General features: G+C 40.1%; 1 long non-coding RNA gene across 5 annotated transcripts in view, besides 1 other annotated feature; it reads right to left on the bottom strand.

Moving 5' to 3' along the window:
• The window catches only part of LOC105379364 (uncharacterized), a 535,736-nt gene that overhangs the window by 488,412 nt on the left and 22,406 nt on the right, over positions 1-24,918 (bottom strand). The window lies entirely within an intron of this gene.
• Positions 13,468-14,667: an enhancer, noted in NCBI's record as "MED14-independent group 3 enhancer chr8:33612557-33613756 (GRCh37/hg19 assembly coordinates)". NCBI's record gives its function as "activates an origin of replication core promoter dependent on BRD2, BRD4, P300/CBP and CDK7 cofactors, and independent of MED14, by STARR-seq in HCT116 cells {active_cell/tissue: HCT116}" and the evidence as "EXISTENCE:reporter gene assay evidence [ECO:0000049][PMID:35650434]".

The following is a 24,918-nucleotide window of genomic DNA, read 5'->3' as shown; positions in this document are numbered from 1 at the left end:
GGTAACAGTAATGTTTACAGTAGAGTAACAAAAAAGTGAAGCCCGATAAACTTGTCAAGGGACATTTCAGAGACAGGATTGGACATGGGAGAACCTAACCCAAGATATTGGGGACGTAAAGGAGAGGAAGGGGTACACACCTTTCTTAGACACGTTTCTTCCACCTAGTAGAGGAGCAGATGTCCTGTGAGCACTTCCATTTTCTAACCCTCTAGCCTTTAAACTCTAAACTGTTTCTTCACCTTCACACACTGAGAGCCAAAAACAAGAATCCCTATGTTCATTTGAATCCTTTTTTTTTTTTTTTTTTTTTTTTGCTTAAAAATGAAGACTGGCAGATAACAATATCTTATCAGCTCAATCCTGAAACACCAGCTGGTGGCCTCTTCAGGGTGACCTGGACAAGCAACAGAGAGCGTGGATAACTGTATTTGCTGTTGATTAAGTCTGAATTCCAGATTCCTTAAGCTCAACAGCCAGCTGGAATGCTGTTACCTTCCAGCAGATACACACATCCATCTTCATTTGGACTGAGAGGCAGAAGCTCACGTCTTTCATAGGAATAATGAGCAAAGATACCCTCAATCATGAAATCTGCAAATTTTTTGTGATAGCATCTCTTCCTTTTTAAAAAAAAAAATCTCTTATTTCCATTGGTTATTGGGAAATAGGTGGTGTTTGGTTACATGAGCATGTTCTTTAGTGGTGATTTGTGAGACTTTAGTGCACCCATCTCCCAAGCAGTATACACTACACCCAATTTGCAGTCTTTTATCCCTCAGCCCCTTCCCACCCTTTCCCCCCGAGTCCCCAAAGTCCACCGTGTCATTCTTAGTTTGATGGCATCTCTTCCTATTCATCCCATCTGTATCAGTTCCTCATTCTGTCTATCATGTCAAAAGGGGCTCAGTGACATGAATACCTTTCCTCCTGAGTATTTTTCCCAATTCAGGTTTAAATTAATTTTCTGAATTTAATTTGGCAAAGTCTTCAGGACACGAGTATTTTAGGGCAGAGGTCTCCAAGCAATATAATGGAATCTAGTAACATATCTCAAAGTTTTTCTAAGTTACTCCTCTTCCTTGTGATTCCAAAGGGATCTCTCTTGGAAGGTGAGCACGCCTGATAAAGGAACTATTCCTGCTCTGCCCTTTTACATCACAAGACCTCAACTATATTTTTTGTCACAGATTTATTGAGATATAACACACCATAAAATTCACCCTTTAAAAGTATACAATTAAATGGTCTTAAGTATTTTCACAAAATCATGCAACCATTATCACTATCTAATTTTAGAACATTTTTATCACCCCAAAAAGAAAGCCCATACCCATTAGCAATTACTCTTTTCCCCCCTTCCCCCTCAACCTCTGGCAACCATCATCTGTTTTCTATCTCTTTGGATTTGCCTATTCTGGACATTTCATGTAAATGAAATCATACAATATGCAGCCTTTGCTGTCTGGCTTCTTTCACTTAGCATACTTTGTTTAAGGTTCATCCATTTTGTAACACATATCAGTGTTTCATTGCTTTTTATTTCCATATAATATTCCATTTTATGGATATACCACATTTCTTGGCCCATTTATCAGCTGGTGGGAATTTGGGTTGTTTCCACCTTGGCTGTTTTGAATCACAGTACCATGAACACTCATATTAAAAGTTTATGTTTGGAAATATTGTTAACAGAAAAACCAGACTCCAAAATATTTTAAAGAGGTTTATTTTGAGCCAATGTGAGTGACTTTTGCCAGGGAAAACACAGTCTCCAGAAGTCCTGAGAAAGTGTACCTGCAGCTATCAGATTACAGTTTGGTTTAATACAGTGTAGGGAGGCAGGAATTACAGGCAAAGACATAGATCAACACATGGAAGGTATACATGGGTTTGGCTCAAAAAGATGGGCTATCTTGAGGGGGAGCTTACAGGTTATAAGTGTATTCCAAGATTCTTTAATTTTCAATTGGTTAAAGGAGCAAGGCTCTCTGTAAAACTTGGAGTCAAAAGAAAGGAATATTTTAAATTCAGAGAAGGAGGCTACGTAGCAAGATTATTGGCCTGCAGGCGTGACTTAATCCCTGTCTCACATGGCCCTAGGTTTTATTTATAATTTCATTCCTTATTGCCACAGAGTCAGTTTTGTTCAAATTAGGATTTCTTTAACATTAATGTGTGTGTGTGTGTGTGTGTGTGTGTGTCTATCAAGGAGAAAGAAAGGTCTATGTGTTAATACAGCTAAGGTTCTGACCCTGTGGTCTGTTGTTGTGCCTAAACTCCACAAGAAAGGGGATAGGCCAAGTGTGGTGGCAAGGCAGGAGGACTGCTTGAGCTCAGGAGTTCAAAACCAGCCTGGGCAATAGAGGAGACCCCAGTAGCTATAAAAATTAAAAATTAAAAAATTAGCCTTGCATGATGGCACACACTTGTGGTTCCAGCAACTCAGGAGGCTGAAATGGGAGGATTGCTTGAGCCTAGGAGGTTGAGGCTGCAGTTAGCCATGTGCTGGGCAACAGAGCAAGGACCTGTCTCCAAAAAAAAGTGGAGGGAGGGGATAAAATGAGTTATGTCTGGCCTCCCTTCCGATCATGGCCAGGAATTCAGTTATTAGGGTTTTTCTGGGGTCCCATTGGCCAAAAGGGAGTCCATTCAGTCAGTGAGGGGCTTAGGATTTTATTTTTAGTTTCAAAAATGTTTTCCCTTCTCTTGGGTATATATCTAGGAGTAGAATTGCTGGGTCAAATAGTAACTCTATATTTAACATTTTGAAAAACTGCCAAACTGTTTTTCAAAGTTCTGTATCATTTTACATTCTTACCAGCAATGTATGAGGCTTCTCATTTCTGCTTATCCTCACCAACACTTATTATTATCCATCATTTTTATTTCATTCACCCTACTGGGTGTGAAGTGATATTATATTGTAGGTTGCATATACATTTTCCTACTGAGTATTGATGTTGGGCATCTTTTTAAGTGCTTATTAGCCATTTGTATATCTTCTTTGAAGAAATGTCTATTCAAATCTTTTGCCTTTTTTTCTTTTTTTTGAGACAGGGTCTCACTATGTTGCCCAGGCTGGAGTGCAGTGGTGCAATCTTGGCTCACTATAATCTGCACCTCCCAGGTTCAAGTGATTCTTGGGCCTCAGCCCTCCTGAGAAGCTGGGATTACAGGCGTGCACCACCACGCCTGGCTAATTTTTGTATTTTTCATAGAGCCAGGGTTTCGCAATGTGGGCCAGGCTGGTCTCAAACTCCTGACCTCAAGTGATGCACCCACCTCAGCCTCCCAAAATGCTGGGATTACAGGCATGAGCCACCAAACCCAGCCCCCATTTTTTAAATGAGTTATTTGTTTCTTATTGTTGAATAGTAGGAATTCTTCATGTATTCCAGATACAAGTTCCTTATCATATCATATATCAGATATATGTTTTAAAATATTTTCCCCACTCTGTGGGCTAATTTTACTATCTTAATAACATTGTTTGCAGCACAACATTTTTAATTTTGATGAAATTCAATTTATTTTTTATTTTGTTGCTTGTGTTTTTTGTGTCATATCCAAGAAACCATTGCCTAATCCAAGGTCACAAAGACTTACCCCTATATTTATTTCCTTCCAAGAGTTTTATAATTTTAGATTCATTCTGAATTAAATTTGTTTAACAGATGGTCTTACTCTGTTGCCCAGGCTGGAGTGCAGTGGCATAATCATAGTTCACTGCAGTCTTGAATTCCTGGTCTCAAGCAATCCTCCTGTCTCAGCCTCCCAAGTAGCTGGGACTACAGGTATGCATCACCATGCATGGCTACTTTTTTCTCTATTTTTTGTAGAGACAGGGTCTTGCCACGTTGCAAAGCCTGGTCTTGAACTCCTGGCCTCAGCAATCCTTCCCACTAGGCCTCCCAAAGCACCGTAATTACAGGCATGAGCCACTGCTCCCGATCTGAGTTAATTTTTGTATATGGTGTGAGGTAGGGGCCAGGACCTTAGCCATATTAGTACACAGATCTTCTTCCTTTCTCCTTGATACACACACAGACACACACACAGAAACACATACATCCATATTTCTCTCTGTCCTCCTTGCCTTCCCTCTCTCCTCTGAGGATAGCATACTTTGGTTGAAATCCCAGCTTCAGCTGTTAAAAGCTGGGACAATTGCTTTACTATTCTGGGCTGGCCTCTGTTTCCTCAGCTATAAGTTGAGAATAAACATACTTGTCTCATGGGATTGCCAGAATGTTAAATGAAAAGCCCCTCTCTGCTTTCCATCTAAAATTTCATTGTAGTTTCTCCTCACAAAAATATTGAAGGACTCTTGTTCTAAACTAGCAATTATCAAACCTGATTATACCACACAATCACCTGGTAAGCTTGTTAAAACGCAGATTGCGGATACCCACAGAGTTTCTTATTCAGAAGATTTGAGGTGGGGCTTGAGTATTTGCATTTCTAAGAAATTCCTAGAAATGCAGGTGATAGCATTTCTAGGAACTTCCATTAGGTGATAGCACTGAATGCACTTTGAAAACCACTGGGAATACAAAAGGAATGTGTGTGGTGGAGAGGGGAACACTCGAGAGCCATAGGAGAAGAGCAAAAGCCCAAGGCTATAATAAATTTCCTAATATGAACCACAAGGCAAGAGGCAAAATTAAAATAAAAATTATCTTGTATATTTCAATGATATCATGTTTTATGTCTTTACTGATGAAGGGTAGCAAGAGATGGACTAAGAAAATTATATTTCACAAATCCCCAGATAATATATGTAACTTAATGAATCTTTAACTTCTCTTTGTAGGAAGTGGTATACAGTGCTGGTGAAATTACTCTTTAAATATTTATGTCAGAGGACTTCAAACCAGAGCAACTCCATTTTGAGTGAGGGCTAGGAAAATAAGGCTGAGACTTGCTGGGTTGCATTCCCAGAAAATTAAACATTCCTAGCCTCTAGATGTTTATGGTTAAGGGAACAAATTAATAATATTTACTAAAACAGACCCAGACTTGGGAGTGTCCAGATATCCCAATATTTGGAGAACAAACACATTCCTAATTTTGCTTTAAAGATAATAATATTGATTCTTGCAAAATATAGTAATTAAGAACATTAAGCCTTTATCACAAACCCTTGTAGCAGAACACATCTCCCCATATATAAGAGTATTGTACCTAGGGTGGACACATTCCTCCTCTTACTTTCAGGAACATCCTACTCTGTCTATGGAGCAGCTGTCCTTTCACCACTTTACTTTCTTAATAATTTGCTTTTGCTTTGCACTGCGGACTGGCCCTGAATTCTTTCTTGCGTGAAATCCAAGAACCCTCTCCTGGGGTCTGGATCAGGACCCTTTCCTGTAACATTTAAGGTAGAATTGGAATACTTGATTGGGACCAAGCTAATATGACCCCTGCCTCAGCCCTTAGTCTATCCTGACACAGGTGAGAATCCACACTGAGGTCAGTACTGATTAACCCATATTCTGAGACAACTGTCCAACCCAGGATCTCTCCTCTCCCTTTCTTGGTCTAACCTGTACCTGCCAGTATCTCATCTTTGAATTCTTGCCTCACCTTTTAGATCCTATCATTGCTCCCGCTTCTGACTGTCAGTCAAGAAAAAAATTACGAGACAAGTCTCAATCATTTTAGGAGACATATTTGCCAAAGTTAAGGACACACCCAAGAGACAAGTCTATGCCTTTCTCGGAAGACGATTTTGAGGGCTCCAAATGTAAAGGGGAAAGGGCAGGAAATAGAGAAGTACAAAATTTTCATGTAAGCGGGGGGCAGGAAGAAATAGTTATTCATGCCTTTGGCTCAGTGAATCTGCATTTTTTACATAAGATAACATAAACAAATGTTGCGGAGGAAAAATGCAGAGAATCTGCATTTTACATAAAATAAAAATAGACCAAATGGGGAAGGGGAACAATCAGATATGCATTTGTGTCTGGTGGGCCAAGGTGACTGCACCTGTAAAGATAAGTTATCGATTTACGTTGCCATGGTGAACTTTAACAGATCACTAGGAATTTCCTTTTGGGCAAAATATGAGGGAGGTGTGTAGCTTTTCATCTCATAGCCATTTTATTTAGGAACTAAAAGGGGAAGGCAGCTTTGCGTGACTCAGTTCGCAGCTTGACTTTTCCCTTTGGCTAAGTGAGTTTGGGGTCTCAAGATTTAATTTCCTTTCACATGACTTCAAACTTGGTGTTTGTTCTTGGTCTCCTCGGTGTATAAAGCATTCCATTTCCTGTGGACATGAACTTGCTGCATCCTTCCAGCACCAAGCATCCCCTGCCTCTAGGAAGATTTTAGGTTGCTAAAGAGAGTTGATCAGCTGGGCACGGTGGCTCTCACCTGCAATCCCAGCACTTTGGGAGGCCAAGGCAAGCAGATCACCAGAGGTCAGGAGTTTGAGACTGGCCTGGCCAATTTGGCAAAACTCTATCTCTATTAAAAATACAAAAATTAGCTGGGCATGGTGGCACATGCCTGTAGTCCCCACTACTCAGAGGCTGAGGCAGGAGAATCGCTTGAACTCGAGAGGCAGAAGTTGCAGTGAGCCAAGTTCAGGCCACTGCACTCCAGCCTGGGTGACAGAGCAATATTCCATCTCATAAAAAAAAAAAAAAAAAAAAAAGGTGTTCATGATTTATTAAGTGAAAAAAGGGATTACTTGACAATGTGTATATTATAAAAATGAATGTGTATGTACACAGAAATACACCTAAAAGTCATATATCACATTTGGAGAGTTATCAGAGTAATTTTATATTTCGAAGGTTATTTGCATTTCTTATTTTCTAATTTTTTTTTGCATTGAACATCTGCTAGTTGTATACTTAAGATAATTAAATACCATAATATGCATCTAAATGTAAAAGCAACCAATAATCCAGCTGAAAACGGCAAAGGACATTAACAGTTCACAGTAAAGAAAATATAAATGGCCCTTAAACATATGGAAAGATGCTCACTTTACTCATCCTAAGCAAGTTGAGAAAATAATCTAAAATTTTGACAATGTACTGTATTGGCAAAAGTTTTGGGGAAACACATACCATGCAACAAGGATTGCAAATTTGCCCAACTACTATGGAGGACAATTGGCAAGAATTATCAAAATAACAAATGCATTTATCCTTTGACCCAGCAATCTCATTTCTGGGAATTTGTCCTAGATATACTTGCATATGTACTTAACTAAATGATGTGTGTACATGATTTCCCCCCAGCATTGTGTATAATAATAACTTAGAACAACCCCGATGCCCTTCAATAGAGAACAAGTTAAATAATTAATAGTACATTCATATAAGAGAATACTATGTAGTGTAACATAGAATGAAGAAGATCTCAATACACTGTTATGTAAAGACTTCCAAGATACATTGTTAAGTGAAAAAAGCAAGGTCCAAAAGACTGTAGTATGTCACCTTTTGTGTAAGATCTAGGGGATACTATGAGCTGAATATTTGTGTTCCCCCAAAATTCACATGTTGAAATCTCATGAATGAGATGAATAGCCTCATAAAAGAGGCATAAGGAAGCTGTCTCCCTCCCTTTTGCCTTCACATCCTTTCCACTATGCAAGGACGCGGTATTCAAGGCACCATCTTGGAAGCAAAGACCAGCCCCTCATCAGACACTGCACCTACCAGCACCTTGATCTTGGACTTCCCAGCCTCCATAACTGTGAGCAATAAGTGTATCTGTTTATAAATCACCCAGTGTGTGGTATTTTGTTATGGCAACACAAATGGACTAAGACAAAAATTGGTACTGTGAGTGCTATGTTATTATGATGAATATCTAAAAAAGTGGCAGCATCTTTGGAACTGGATAATGAGTAGAGGCTGAACCATAAACAGCTATTCTGGTGAGGGCTCAGAAGAAGAGAAGAGCTATAGGGAGTGCCTAAATCTGCTTAGAGATTACTTAAGTGGTCATGATAAGAATGTTGACAGAAATATGGACAGTAAGCCAGGTGCAGTGGCTCATGCCCATAATCCCAGCACTTTGGGAGGCCAAGGTGGGTGGATCACTTGAGGTCAGTTCAAGACCAGCCTGGCCAACGTGGTGAAACCTCATCTCTACTAAAAATACAAAAATTAGCTGGGCGTGGTGGCGGGCGCATGTAATCTCAGCTACTCAGGAGGCTGAGGCAGGAGAATCACTTGAACCCGGGAGGTGGAGGTTGCAGTGAGCAGAGATCGCACCACTGCACTCCAGCCTGGGTGATAGAGTGAGACTCAGTCTCAAAAAAGAAAGGAAGGAACGAAGGAAGGAAGGGAGGGAGGGAGCGAGGGAGGACAATTATGATGAGGTCTTACAGAAACGTGTAACAGAAATAACCTTTCTTGGAAGAAAGACTACCCCTGTTATAAAGTTGCAAAGAACTGGGTTGAATTGTATCCATGTCCTAATGCTTTGTGGAAAGCAGAACTTGTGAGCAAAGAACTAGGATATTTGGTGGAAAAAAATTACAAGCAAAGCATTGGAGGAGTTATCTGGCTTCACTTGACTGCTTAGAGTAAAATGCAAGAAGAAAATGAATTAAAGACAGAATTTGCAATTTTTTAAAAAAAGCAGAACTTAAAGATGTAGAAAATTTTCAGCCTGGCCAGATTGTGAGGAATAACAAAGTATGTTTGGAAGAGAATACCAAGGGCATGGCCAAGCTACTGTTTGATAAGGAATTAGTATGGACAGAAAAAAGACAGATACTATTCATCAACACAATGGAAGAATGACCCTGAAGTCATTTCAGAGATTATAAGTACTGCCACTTCCATCACAGGCCCAGAGTTCCAGGGCCTTGAGAACAGAATGGTTTCAAAGGAAGGACCTGGGCTCCTGTGGGACCTTGAGTTTCACTGTCCAGAGCCATCTCAAGTCTCTGCTCCCCACATTCTGGTGCAGTACCCCTTGGCTGCCCCAGCTGTGGCTCAAGCAAAGCCCAAGTGTGGCTTCAGCTGTCACTCCAGAGGACACAAAAGGTAGGCCTTGGTAGCATCCATGTAGTGCTAACTCTGCAAGCATGCAGAGTACAGAAGCTATAGAGACGTAAGTACCTCTACCTAGATTTCAAAGAATGCCTCCAAGAGCCTTGAGGCCCAGTCAGAGAACTGCCACAGAGGCAGGGCCACCATAACGTCTGAGCCATGGCAATGCCTAGCAAAGCTATGGGGTTGAAACCACCCCAGAGAGACCCCAGTAGAGCTGTACTTAGTGGAGCCATGACAGCAAGATGTCCGCCAAGACTCCAGACCTATAGAACTACCAGCATTCAGTGCCAGTGTGGGAGCACTGCAGGCACCCAACTCCAACCCCTGGGAGCTGCTGAGTGAGCTAAACTCAGAAAAGCCATGGTGGTAGGGCTGCCTGGGGCCTCAGGTACCCAACTCCTGCCCCAGTGCATCCAGAAGGCAGGGCATGGAGTCAAAGAAAATGATTCTCAATCTTCAAGGTTTAGTGCTGTTTGTCCTGCTGTTTGTTGGGCTTACTTGGGGCCAGTTACTCCTTTCTTCTTTCCAGTTTATTCCTGTTGCTATCCTACACCTGTAACACAATTGTATTTTGGAAACATAACTTGTTTAATTTTATAGGTTCACAGCTGGAAAGATAATTTGTCTCAGGATGAATCCTATCTTAAGTCTTCTATATCTAATTTAGATAAAAATTTTTGAGTTGATGCTAGAATGAGTTGATTGGGGCTATTGGGATAGAATGAATATATTCCACGTGTGAGAAGGACATGAGTTTGAGGGGTCAGGGGTAGAATGCTATGGTCTGAATGTGTCCCCCAAAATTCACACATTAAAACTTAATCACCCAAGTGATAGCATTAAGAGGGGGGGCCTTTCGGAGGAGATTAAGTCCTGAGGGCAGAGCCCTCATGAATGGGATTAATGACCTTATTAAAACAAATGCAAGAGAGATGCTTCCCTCCCTTTTGTGCTGCTATCTTTTCCATCATGTGAGGGCACAGGGTACAAGACACCATCTGGGAAGCAAAGACTGGGCCCTCACCAGACACTGAACCTATGAGCAGCCTGATCTTGGACTTCCCAGCCTTCATAACTGTGAGAAAAACATTTATCTGTTTACAATTACCCAGTGTGTGGTATTTTGTTATACCAGCATGTTTTAGTCCATTTTATGTTGCTATAAAGGAATATCTGAGGCTAGGTAGCTTATAAGAAAAAGAAGTTTATTTGGCTCACAATTCTCCAAGCTTACAAGAAGCATGGCACTGGCATCTGCTTCTGGTAAGGACTTCAGGAAGCTTCCAATTATGATGGAAGGCAATAGAGGAGCAGGCATGTCACATGGCAAGAAAGAGAGCAGAGAGAGAGAAGGAGAGGTGTCACACTCTTTCAAACAACCAGCTCTCAGGTAAACTAATAGAGTGAGAACACACTCATTACTGCAGGGAAGGCAACCAAGTTATTTATGAAGGATAAGCCCCCATGACCCCAACACCTCCCACCAGGCCCCATCTCCAACAGTGGTTATCAAATTTCAACATGAAATTTGGAGAGGTCACACATACAAACAATATCACAGCACAAATAGACCAATATAAAATCCTAACCTCCAAGGTGATGGTATTAGAAGGTAGGGCCGTTAAGAGGTAATTAGGTCAGAAAGGCTTTACTCTCATAAATGGGATTAGTGCCCTTATAAAAGAGCCCTAAGGAGACTTGCTTATTCCTTCCCTTACCACCATGTGAGGACACAGCAAGAAGGTGCTTTCTATGAAACAGAAAGCTGTCACTAGACCCTGAATCTGTTGGTGCCTTGATCTTCCCAGCTGCCACAACTGTGAGCAATAAATGTCTGTTGTTTGTAAATTACCCAGTCTAAGGTCTTTTGTTACAAAACTCCAAATAGACTAAGGCAGCCCGTATAGATTAATGTGTGCATATAATTCGTTAGACGTGGAGAGAAAGCCTTGAAGAAAAGCATAGGCTACATGTTAAATTTGCCGATTGAACAGAAAACCCTAAAGCCATCTAGAAGTACCTAGGCACTTGAAAAATCTGGGGAGAATGTTTCTCAGTCATTCCCAAGAATTGATGGGTTTATTATTCTATTGCTTCCCCCACAACTTTCCCAGGTTGATGTGTCCTAAGGAAATAGCTGTATATACCTGCAAAATATAATGTAGGACGCCACAGAAAAGAGAGTGATTTTTTTGCATTTCCTGAGGTATGGTGGGTAGTATGAAAAAGTAATCTGATGTCACGAGGCCACAATTTATCAGCTGTGGAACCTGCTTTAATCTGATTCCACTTTTGTAAAATGGAGAAAATGGGAATACCTGCATTATCCAATTCACAGGAATGTTATCAGGATCAAAGTGATAATGTCTGTGACAGCGTTTTGTAAACTGTAAAAGGCTACACTAATGACAGGCTTTGTAGTTATTTTTAAAAATGACCTCTGACAACTAGACCTTATAAGGGTCATTATTTCTCAGAAAACCAAATATCATATCATTTCTTTTGCCCTTTTCCTCACTGTCATCAAGAAAGTGTAGATTTGGAAAAAGGCAAGAAAAGCATAGTAATGGCTGCTGTCACATTCACCATTACTTTATGAATCTTTACATCCAAACCTAGTATTTCTTTTTCTTTTTCATTTTCTTCCTCCAGTGTCACCAAAGCTAATATTTAAGGGACATGTGTTATGCTATTTGTCATGGGTTGAATCTTGTCCCCCAAAAAGATATATTGAAGTCCTAACCCCCAGTACCTCAGAATGCAACTTATTTGGAAACTGGGCCATTGCAGATGCAATTAGTTAAAACAAGGTCATACTTGAGGAGGGTGGGCCCTTAATCCAACAGGACTGCTATCCATGTAAGAAGACAGTGTGAAGATACAAGGGAAGCATGCCACATGAAGATGGAGGCAGAGATTGGAGCTATGCAGCTGCAAGTCGAGGAACACCAAAGATCAACGGCCACCATCAAAGCTAGGAAGAGGCAAGGAAGGATTCTATTTAGACTCTCAGAGGGAGCATAGCCTTACTGTCACCTGATTTTGGACTTGCAGCATCCAGGACTGTGAAAGAATGCACATCTATTGTTGTTAGCCACCCAGTTTGTGGTACTTTGTTATGGCAGCCCTGGAAAACTAATACAGGCACTCACTCATTTCTTTCTCTCCATTTGATCTGCATACTTAGTCCAAAGTAAAGTGCCTAGATCCCTATGCAACCTCCATCCATATCAGCAGAAGTCTCTCTACCTTAAGTCTTCTATATCTAATTTAGATAAAAATTTTTGAGTTGATGCTAGAATGAGTTAATTGGGGCTACTAGGATAGAATGAATATACTCTACATGTAAGAAGGACATGAATTTAAAGGGTTGGGGTAGAATGCTATGGCCTGAATATGTCCCCCAAAATTCATACATTAAAACTTAATCACCCATGTGATAGCATTAAGAGGTGGGGCCTTTAGGAGGGGATTAAGTCCTGAGGGCTGAGCCCTCATGAATGGGATTAATGACCTTATTAAAACAAATGCAAGAGAGATGCTTCCCTCTGAGGTCCCTACCTCTGGACCTCAGAGTTACTCCAAAGTCTTCAACTCCAAGCATGGTCTATAGATGAATTAAAGTAATGAATAACCACTACTGTGGGGGTTGACTGGTCAGTGAAATTAATTTACACTAAAATATGTCCTCATACCACAGATTAGGCTTTCACTAAACAATGGTGAAACCAGGGCAGATAAAATATAGAAAGTTTTTCCTAGCTATTACTGTGCATTTGAGATATCTAGAAGCTCTTATGAAATATCAGAAAGTGTTTTCCCATGATATATGCAAATAACCATTGATGTGGCAGGGGAAGAGTTGTATTTTAATAAAAGAGACACTTGAAGTCAGAAAATCCCACAATCACTGTTTCTATGCAAGTAATTATCTGTCTCAGATCTTATTCTGAAAAAAGAATAAAACAAGTTACCGATGCTCCTCACTACTTCACGCTTTTGAGCGTGTGTGTGTTTGTGTGTGTGTGTGTATTTGATAAAATTAATAATGCAGGTAAAGTTCTTGGATCCTTTTTAAAATAAAAGTGTTATATTACTTAATGGGAGTATTTTTTCAGCGCATCCTGATGCTGACATTTTCTGAATTAGTGTAGAAGGCTACGCTATTTTAAAACAATAAATGAAAATATTTTTCAATATATAGAGTTTAAAAAATTAGGTTACAAACAATATTGTAGTATAATCATATTTCTATTTTTAAAGACTAATAGGTATTTTTCTGTGAATAGAAAAAAATAGTAAGAATACCAAATAACCTAGTGTCTAAGATATTTAAGAATTCTTATCCTTGCATAATAGGATTGTGGGAGAGATTTACTGTTTTCTTTTTGTTTGCCTACATTTTCTAAGCTACATATAAAGAGCATCTGTTCTTGCAAATAAAATAAAGTGTTTTTTAAACTATAAAATGCAATCATGGCAGACAAGAGGCAGGACTAGATTGCAGCTCTGACTTGGACAGACAGAGCAGCATGCAGAGGCTCGCATTGTGAGTTTTACCTCCAGATCAACTGCAAGAACAAACCAGGAATCCTGAGAGGACCCACAGACCCTGTGAAGGAAACAGATTGCTCCTACAGGACCTGGGAGACACCCCAAATATTGTGAGTACCCCAATTGCAGAAGTGGGAAAAGGAGATCCTCTTTTGCTGAACACAACCCCCACTGGGGAAACTGAAGGTCTGTTTGTGGGAGAAGTTTCCGACCTTACCTGAAGCTGAGTCAGTCTAGACAGCCGAACGAAATACAGGGGTAGAGGAAGCAGCAGGAAAGACCTTGGGAGCTCCCTGGGTCCCCAAGCAGCCCATTCCTGCCTGGCACCACAGGGATCCTTGGAGAGGGCAGCCAGAGGAGTGGGGGGAAAATGCCACAGGGAGAAGGAAATCTCCAGCTAAACTTTGTAACAATTTGAACTGGATAAGAACTCTCCTGGCTAGAACTCGGGGGAAGGCATGAAACTGGTGTGCAGACTCCATAGCTGGGGGAAGAACCAAGCCCTTTTTTTTCACAGCTGGGAGGCAGGTAGCCTGGGACAAGTTCTCAGGCCCTGCTCACCCACTGCCTGGAAACATACTCGAGGCTGTTAGTGTGAGCACTGTGGGAGTGAGACCAACCCTTTGGTTTGTGTGGGAGCTGGGTGAGGCCTATGATCGCCATCTTTTCCCCACTTCCCTGACAACCTGCATGACTCTGCAGAGGCTGGCATAATCCTCCTACGTTCACAACTCCATTGATGTGGGAACATCACCCCCATCCCCCACAGCAGCCACAGCAAGACCCGCCCAAGGAGAATCTGAGCTCAGACATGCCTAGCCCTGTCCCCACGTGATGGGCCTTCCCTAACCACCCTGGTAGCTGAAGACAAAGGGCATATAATCTTGGGAGTTCTAGGGCCCCACCCACCACTGGTTCCTCTCTATACTATCACAGCTGATGCTCTCTGGAAAGCACCACCTCCATAGCAGGAGGCCAACCAGCACAAAAATAGAGCATTAAACCACCAAAGCTAAGAACCCTCACAAAGTCCATTTCACCCCTCTGCAACCCCCACTGAAAAAGGCACTGGTATCCACAGCTGAGAGACCCATAGATGGTTCACATCATAGGACTCTGTGCTGACAAACCCCAGTACCAGCTCAGAGCCAGGTAGACTTGCTGGGTGGCTCGACCCAAAAGGGAGATAACAATGACTGCAGCTTAGCTCACAGTAAGCCACATCTATAGAGAAAGGGGGAGAGTACTACATCAAGGGAACACCCCGTGGGACAAAAGAATCTGAACAACAGCCTTCAGCCCTAGACCTTCCCTCTGACAGAGCCTACTCAAATGAGAAGGAACCAGAAAACTAACTCTGCTAATATGACAAAACAACGCTCTTTAACATCCCCCAAAAATCACACTACTTCACCAACAATGGATCCAAACCAAGAAGAAACCCCTGGTTTACCTGAAAAAGAATCTAGGATGTTAGTTATTAAGCTAATCAGGGAGGCACCGGAGAAAGGCGAAACCCAATGCAAGGAAATCCAAAAAAACGATACAAGAAGTGAAGGGATAAATATTCAAGGAAATAGATAACATAAATAAAAAAATCAAAATTTCAGGAACATTGGATACACTTTAAAATGCAAAATGCTCTGGAAAGCCTCACCAATAGAACTAAACAAGTAGAAGAAATAAATTCAGAGCTCAAAGACAAGGTCTTCAAATTAACCCAATCCAAAAAAGACAAAGGAAAAAAGAATAAGAAAATGTGAACAAAGACTCCAAGAAGTCTTGGATTATGTTAAACAACCAAACCTAAGAATAAGCGATGTTCCTGAGAAAGAAAAGAAATATAAAAGTTTGGAAAACATATTTGTGGGAATAATTGAGGAAAACTTTCTTGGCCTTGCTAGAGACCTAGACATCCAAATACAAGAGCACAAAGAACACCTGCAAAATGTATCACAAAAAAGATCAACACCTAGGCACATTGTCTTCAGGTTATCCAAAGTTAAGATGAAGGAACGAACCTTAAGAGCTGTGAGACAAAAGCACCAGGTAACCTATAAATGAACACCTAACAGATTAACAGCAGATTCTCAGTAGAAACCCTACAAGCTAGAAGGGATTGAGGCCCTATCTTCAGCCTCCTCAAACAAAATAATTATCAGCCAATAATTTTGTATCCAGTGAAACTAAGCATCGTATAGGAAGGAAAGATACAATCTTTTTCAGACAAACTAATGCTGAGAGAATTCACCACTACCAATCCACCACTACAAGAACTGCTTAAAGGAGCTCTAAATCTTGAAACAAATCCTAGAAACACATCAAAACTCTTTAAAGCATAAACCTCACAGGACCTATAAAACAAAAATACAAGTTAAAAAGCAAAAACAAAGGTACAGAGGCAACAAATAACATGAGGAATGCAATGGTACCTCATAATTCAATACTAACATTGAAAGTAAATGGCCTAGATGCTCCACTTAAAAGATACAGAATGGCAGAATGAATAAGAACTCACCAAGCAACTATCTGCTGCCTTCAGGAGACACCTAACACATAAGGACTCAATAAACTTAATATAAACAGGTAAAAAAAGGCATTTCATGCAAATGAACACCAAAAGTGAGAGGGGTAGATATTCGTATATCAGACAAAACAAACTTTAAAGCAAGAGCAGTTTAGAAAGACAAAGAGGGACATTATATAATAGTAAAAGGCCTTGTCCAACAGGAAAATATCATAGTCCTAAACATATATGCACCTGACACTGGAGCTCCCAAATTTATAAAACAATTACTAATAGACCTAAGAAATGACATAATAGACAAATAGACAAGAACACAATAATAGTGGGGGACTTCAATACTCCACTGACAGCATTAGACAGGTCATCAAGACAGAAAGTCAACAAAGAAACAATGGATTTAAACTATACCTTGGAACAAATGCACTTGACAGTTATACACAGAATATTTCACCCAATAACTGCAGAATACACATTCTATTCAACAGCACATGGAACTTTCTCCAAGATAGACCATATGATAGGCCCTAAAATGAGCCTCAATAAATTTAAGAAAATTGAAATTATATCAAGCACTCTCTCAGACCACAGTGGAATAAAACTGGAAATCAACTCCAAAAGGAATGTTCAAAACCATGCAAATACATGGAAATTCAATAACCTGCTCCTGAATGAGCATTGGGTCAAAAATGAAATCAAGATGGAAATTTAAAAGTTCTTCAAACTGAACAACGATAATGACACACCCTATCAATACCTCTGTGATACAGCAAAGGTGGTGCTAAGAGAAAAGTTCATAGCCCCAAATGCCTACATGAAAAAGACTGAAAGTGCAAAATCTGACTTTCTAAGGTCACACCTTAAGGAACTAGAGAAACAAGAGCAAACCAAACCTAACCCAAGCAGAAGAAAGGAACTAACCAAGATCTGAGCAGAAGTAAATGAAATTGAAACAAACAAACAAAAAAAAATACAAAAGCTAAATGAAACAAAAAGCTGGTTCTTTGAAAAGATAGATAAAATTGATAGACCATTAGCAAGATTAACCAAGAAAAGAAGAGAGAAAATCCAAACAACCTCATTAAGAAACGAAACGGGAGATATTACAACTGACACCACTGAAATACAAAAGATTATTCAAGGCTACTATGAACACCTTTATGCACATAAACTAGAAAATCTAGAAGAGATGGGCAAATTCCTGTAAAAATACAACTCTCCTAGCTTAAATCAGGAAGAATTAGATACCTGGAACAGACCAATAACAAGCAGCGAGACTGAAATGGTAATTTAAAAATTACCAACAAAAAAGTCCAGGATCAGATGGATTCACAGCAGAATTCTACCAGACATTGAAAGAAGAATTGGTACCAATCCTTTTAACACCATTCTACAAGACAGAGAAAGAGGGAAACTTCCCTAAATCATTCTCTGAAGCCGGCATCACCCTAATACCAAAACCAGGAAAGGGCATAACCAAAAAAGAAAACTACAGACTGATATCCTTGATGAACATAGATGCTAAAATCCTTAACAAAATACTAGCTAACAAAATCCAACAATATATCAAAAAGATAACCCATCATGATCAAGTGGGTTTCATACCAGGGATGCAGGGATGGTTTAACATATGCAAGTCAATAAATGTGATACACCACATAAAAAGAATTTTTTCTAAAAATCACATGATCATCTCAATAGATGCAGAAAAAGCATTTGACAAAATCCAACATCTTTATGATTAAAACTCTCGGAAAAATCAGCATACAAGGGACATACCTCAGTGTAATAAAAGCCATCTATGACAAACACACAGCCAACATAATACTGAACAGGGAAAAGTTGAAAGCATTCCCTCTGAGAACTGGAACAAGACAAGGATGCCCACTCTCACCACTCCTCTTCAACACAGTACTGGAAGTCCTAGCTAGAGCAATCAGACAAGAGAAAGAAATAAAGGGCATCCAAATCAGTAAAGAGGAAGTCAAACTGTCACTGTTTGCTGACGATATGATCGTTTACCTCAAAAACCCTAAAGACTCCTCCAGAAAGCTCCTAGAACTGAAAAAAGAATTCAGCAAATTTTCTGGATACAAGATTAATGTACGCAAATCAGTAGCTCTTCTATATACCAACAGCGACCAAGAGGAGAATGAAATCAAGAACTCAACCACTTTTACAATAGCTGCAAAAAAATAAAATGCTTAGGAACATACCTAACCAAGGAGCGGTAATACCTCTACAAGGAAAACTACAAAAGACTGCTGAAATAAATCAGAGACAAAACAAACAAATGGAAACACATCCTATGCTCATGGATGGGTAGAATCAATATTGTGAAAATGACCATACTGCCAAAAGCAATCTAAAATTTCAATGCAGTCCCCATCAAAATGCCACCATCATTCTTCACAGAATTAGGAAAAAACAATTCTAAAATTCATATGGAACCAAAAAAGACCCCACATAGCCAAAGCAAAACTAAGCAAAAAGAACAAATCCGGAGACATCACACTACCTGATTTCAAACTATACTATAAGGCCATAGTCACCATAGTCACCACAGTACCATAGCGTGGTACCAGTATAAAAATAGGCACATAGACCGATAGAACAGAATAGAGAACCCAGAAATAAACCCAAATGCTTACAGCCAACTGATCTTCGACAAAGCAAACAAAACCATAAGATGGGGAAAGGACACCCTTTTCAACAAATGATGCTGGGAGAATTGGCTAGCCACATGTGGGAAAATGAAACTGGATCCTCATCTCTCACCTTAAACAAAAATCAACTCAAGATGGATTAAGGACTTAAATCTAAGACCTGAAAGTATAGAAATTCTAGAAGATAATACTGGAAAACCCCTTCTAGACATTGCCTTAGGCAAGGATTTCATGACCAAGAACCCAAAAGCAAATGTATAAAAGCAAAGATAAATTGTTGGGACTAAAGAGCTTTTTCACAGTAAAAGGAACAGTCAGCAGAGTAAACAGACAACCCACAGAGTGGAAGAAAATCTTCATAATCTATACATCTGACAAAGGACTAATATCCAGAATCTACAACAAACAGGAAAATCAGTAAGAAAAAAACAATCCCATCCAAAAGTGGGCTAAGGACATGAATAGACAATTCTCAAAAGAAGATATACAAATGGCCAACAAACATGAAAAAATACTCAACATCACTAATGATCAGGGAAATGCAAATCAAAACCACAGTGCGATACCATCTTACTCCTGCAAGAATGGCCATCATCAAAAAATCAAAAAAATAGTAGATGTTGGCATGAATGCAGTGATCAGGGAACATTTCTACACTGCTGGTGGGAATGTAAACTAGTACAGCCACTATGGAAAACAGTGTGGAGATTCCTTAAAGAACCAAAAGTTGTACTCCCATTTGATCCAGCAATCCCACTACTGGGTGTCTACCCAGAAGAAAAGAAGACATTAAATGAAAAAGACACCTGCATATGCATGTTTATAGCAGCAAAATTCGCAATTGCAAAATCATGGAACCAACCCAAATGTCCATCAATCAATGAGTGGATAAAGAAACTTTGGTATATACATACAATGGGATACTACGCAGCCATAAAAAGGAATGAATTAACGGCATTTGCAGCGACCTGGATGAGATTGGAGACTGCTATTCTAAGTGAAGTAACTCAGGAATGGAAAACCAAACATCGTATGTTCTCACTGATATTTAGGAGCTGAGCTATGAGAACGCAAAGGCATAAGAATGATACAATGGACTTTGGGGACTTAGGGGGATGGATGGGAGTTGGGCGAGAGATAAAAGACTACAAATGGGTGCAGTATACACTGCTCAGGTGATGGGTGCACCAAAATCTCACAAATCACCACTAAAGAACTTAGTTATGTAACCAAATACCACCTGTACCCAATAACTTATGGAGAAATTAAGATAAAAATAAATAAATACAAGAATGTCTCAACTCCTCAAACAATTATGCCAATGTTTTAAAAATATGTACCTGTATTTATTACCAACTGTCAGATTTTACCAAATGGTAAACCACAAATATGTTTAAAGTATCTATTTTCATAAAATAAGATATGCTTGGGAAGTTGGTTGAATAATATTGAAAAAATGATTTACTAGATAGTAAACCACAAATATGTTTAAAGAATCTATTCTTATAGAATAAGATATTGTCAGGAAGTTAATTGAGTAATTTTTTTAAAAAAAATAGATTTTACCAAATGGTAAACCACAAATATGTTTAATTAATCTATTCTCATAGAATATTATATTCTCAGGAAGTTAGTTGAGTAAATATTGAAGAAGAAAACAAAAACAAAAAAAAAAACAAAACCATAGGACAGACCAGGAAAGAAGATGCCGTTTGGTCCGGGCCACACTGAAACCAACCTATAAGAAATAATGAAAGGAACAGGTGGTGTAAATGGCAGCTGGGAGGGCCAGCTCCAGAAGTGCAAAATCCTAAGTGTAGTGGGGAAGGAATGTCACTAAGAAATGTGTTACAATCTTTAGAATTTGAAGGTTTTTAAAAATAGGACTTGAATCAAATAACTGTGAAAATTATCGTTGCCAAATAGAATGTAAATGTTATAAACACTGACACAGTAAAAATAGCAGTTGAGAGGTGGGGAGGGGAAAAGAGGTGGGGAGAGGTGTTCAGAGTGCTAATTTCTTCATCTTTATAACAAGGAGTCATTCAATACTGTCAAAAATGGAAACATGGAGTTATAAAACACACAAAGATTTCAGTTTCTTAATATCCTCCTAGTCTTTTCTCATAACCTTAAAAAGATCTTTTAAAAACCAATGACTCTTGAGGTGAATAAATGTTGATATAAGTTCAACAATTCCTATAAATTCACTTGTTTCTTTTTCTTCCTAATTTCATATAAAACTAAAGTTAATACTAAAAGAAACATATTGATCTGATTCTATTTTATGAAATTACTGCTTGCCCTGTATCCACATGTACAGTGTATATAAATAGAATAATGAACACCAAATGCTACTGCTGAAAACTTCTGAGTGGTGGAATTGAGGGTGCAGGAATTTTTATTCTTCTCTATGCTTCTATAAGTTTGCAAGACAAAAACATCAAAAGTAAAAAATATAGATATACTCAATCAATTTTATCCTTTCAATAAGTATTGAGTTAACTTAGAGTATTTTCTGAATAACGTTAACCTAGTAGAAGGGGAGATTTGAATAGTGGCATCCTCCTCATAGAAGAATCATTCTTTTGGCCACTACAGTGGCTCATGTCTGCAATCCCAGCACTCTGAGAGGCCTAGGAGGGTAGATTTCTTGAGGTCAGGAGTTTGAGACCAGACTGGCCAACATAGTGAAACCCCGTCTCTATTAAAAATATAAAAATTAGCTAAGCATGGTGACAGGGGCCTGTAATCCCAGCTACTTAGGAGGCTGAGGCAAGAGAATTGCTTGAACCCTAGAGGTGGAGTTGGAGGTTGCAGTGAGCAGAGATTGTACCACTGCACTCCAGCCTGGGTGACAGAGCGAGACTCTGTCTCCAAAAAAAAAAAAAAAATCATTCTTTTTCTTGCAGTGAATTTGAGGCATTGGGCCTTCTTCTTAGCATGTCACACCTATTGCCTGATTGGTGCAGAGTACTCAGCCTCCCAAAAGATCTGGAGGAGGCCAGAAGAGGGCCCTACTGCTGCATCGCTTCATGTTTTAAAACTGCCTCTTGGTATTCACAGCCTCATAGAATTCAGTGGCTGGTTATATTATAAATTGGAAATTGGCCTAAAAGATGGACAATCAGGAATAAGAAAAAAGATACTCTCAGAGAGGCAAGAAGTAAAGCTTATTAAGGAAAGAGGACATTGAAAATAACTTAAATGTTAGCATCTATGAGTCAATCACATCAATAAGTATCATGATAAGAAAATATATTTTGCTACTGGAACCTAGTATAATAATTTTGTTTTATCCTTCCACTTACAGGAAGTTTGGTTCTTTTTTTAATTTTATTTTTAGAGACAGGGTTTCGCCATGTTGCCCAGGCTGGTCTCAAACTCCTTGACTCAAGCAATTCACCCGCCTCTACCTCCCAAAATACTGGGATTACAGGCGTGGGCCACCGCCCCCAGCTAAGAAAGTTCAGACCTTAAGTGAACAACAAAAATGGCTATCTTCTTTCTAAAATCTCCAAAAAAGGAATCTCTTTTGATATAAATCTTTTGACAAATTATGCCCACATTTCCAAATTATAATGGTCAATGATTACAATTAAAATGAAAATCTAGGTCTTCAATTTCAAGGAGGCCGTTTCTGTCTTCACCCACATGGAACACTGTAAGTTCTCAGAATAGAACTTTCTCTTCTACACTAGCAATTCCTTTTTTTTTTTTTTTTTTTTTTTTGAGAGAGAGAGAGAGGCAGGGTCTTGCTCTGCACCCAGGCTGGGGGGAAATGGTGCAATCATAGCTCACTGTAACCTAAACTCCTGGTCTCAAAAAATCTTCCCACCTCAGCCATCCGAGTAGCTGGGACTACAGGTAAGTGCCACCATGCCTGGCTAATTTTTTCACTTTATTTTTTATTTTTTGGAAACACAGGGTCTCACTATGTTGTCCCGGCTAGTCTAAACTCCTGGGCTCAAGCAATCCTCCAGCCTGGCCTTCTAGATTAGTCTGTTCTCACACTATTATAAAGAAATACCTGAGACTGGGTAATCTTTAAAGGAAAGATATTTAATTGACTCACAGTTCTGCATGGCTGGGGAGGCCTCAGGAAACTTACAATCAAGGCAGAAGGCTAAGGGAAAGCAAGCTTGGACCTTCTCACATGGCAGCAGGAGAGAGTGTGACTGCAGGGAAAACTACAATTTATAAAACCATCATATTCACTCATGAGAACAGCATGGGGGAATCACCCCCATAATCCAATCACTTCCCTTCCTCGACAGGTAGGGATTACAGATCCCTCCCTTGACATGTGGGGATTACAATTCAAGATGAGATTTGGGTGGGAACACAAAGCCAAACCATATCACCTCCTAGAGCACTGGGATTACAAGTGTGAGCCACCATGCCTGGCCAGCAATTCCCTCTAACTATTTTTGCAAAGTTTTATATTCCATGTATCAAAACATCGAACAAGGAAGGCAGCGTCAGCCAGTAACTGAATATTCAGTAAGCTCACTTCCCATGTAAGATGTACCTTTGCTCTTCCTTCATCTTCTGCCATGATTGTGAGGACTCCACAATCATGTGGAACTATGAGTCAATTAAACCTCTTTCCTTTATAAATTGCATAGTCTTGGGTATGTCTTTATTACCAGCATGAGAAAAGACTAATACAGTAAACTGGAACTGGTAGAGTGGGGTGCTACTGTAAAGATAACCAAAAATGTGGAAGTGACTTTGAAACTGGGTAACAGGCAGAGGTTGAAACAGTTTGGAGGGTTCAGAAGAAGATACGAAAATGTGGAAAAGTTCTGAAGCTGCCTAGAGACTTGGAGGGCTCAGAAGACAGTAAGATGTGGGAAAGTTTGAAACTTTCTAGAGACTTGTTGAATGGCTTTGACCAAAATGCTGATAGTAATATGGACAATAAAGTCCAGGCTGAGGTAGTCTCAGATGGAGATGAGGAACTTGTTGGGGACTGGAGTAAAGGTCACTCTTGCTATGTAAAGAGACTGGCATCATTTTGCCCCTGGCCTAGAGAGCTGTGGAACTCTGAACTTGAAAGAGAAGATTTAGGGTATGTGGTAGAAAAATTTCTAAGTGGCAAAGGGTTCAAGAGAAAGCAGAGCATAAAAATTGGGAAGATTTGCAGCCTGACCATGAGGTAGAAAAGAAAAACCCATTTTCTGGGGAGAAATTCAAGGGGCTACAGAAATATGCATAAGTAACAAGAAGCCAAACGTTAATCACCACCACAATGGGGAAAATGTCTCCAGGGCATGTCAGAGACCTTCACACAGCCCCTCCCATCACAGGCCTGAAGATCTAGGAGGAAAAAATGGTTGGGCTGGGCCCAGGGCCTCCCTGCTCTATGCTGCCTTCCGACATGGTGCCCTGTGTCTATGCTGCCTTCCGACATGGTGCCCTGTGTCCCAGCTGCTTCAGCTCCAGCTGTGGCTAAAATGGGCCAACATAGAGCTTAGGGAGTTGCTTCAGAGGGTGCAAGCCCCAGGCCTTGGCAGCTTTCACATGGTGTGGAGCCTGTGGGTGCACAGAAGTCAAGAACTGAGGTTTGAAAACCTCCGCCTAGATTTCAGAGGATGTATGGAAAGGCATGGATGTCCAGGCAGAAGATTGCTGCAGGGGCAGAGCCCTCAAGGAGAACCTCTGCTAGGGCAGTACAGAAGGGAAACGTGGGGTCAGAGGCCCCACACGGAGTGCCTATTGGGGCACTGCCTAGTGGAGCTGTGAGAAGAGGGCCATCATTCTCCAGACCCAGAATGGTAGATTCAATGAAATCTTGCACTGTGCACCTGGAAAATCCTCAGACACTCAACACCAGCCTGTGAAAGCAGCCCGGAGGTGGAGCTGTACCCTGCAAAGCCACAGGGATGGTGCTGCCCAAGGTTTTGGGGGCCCACCTCTTGTATCAGCGAAACCTGGATGTGAGACATGGAGTCAAAGGAAATCATTTTGGATCTTTAAGATTTAATGACTGTCTTATTGTATTTCAGACTTGCATGGGGCCTGTAACCCTTTTGCTTTGGCCATTTTCTCCCATTTAAAATAGATATATTTACCCAATGCCTGTACACACATTGTATCTAGGAAGTAACTAATTTGCTTTTGATTTTACAGGCTGACAGTC

The sequence above is a fragment of the Homo sapiens genome, chromosome 8, assembly GCF_000001405.40.
Source record: "Homo sapiens chromosome 8, GRCh38.p14 Primary Assembly".
Taxonomy (NCBI): domain Eukaryota; kingdom Metazoa; phylum Chordata; class Mammalia; order Primates; family Hominidae; genus Homo; species Homo sapiens.
Note: the sequence above shows the minus strand (reverse complement) of the source record. Positions and strands in the feature narration are given on the sequence as shown.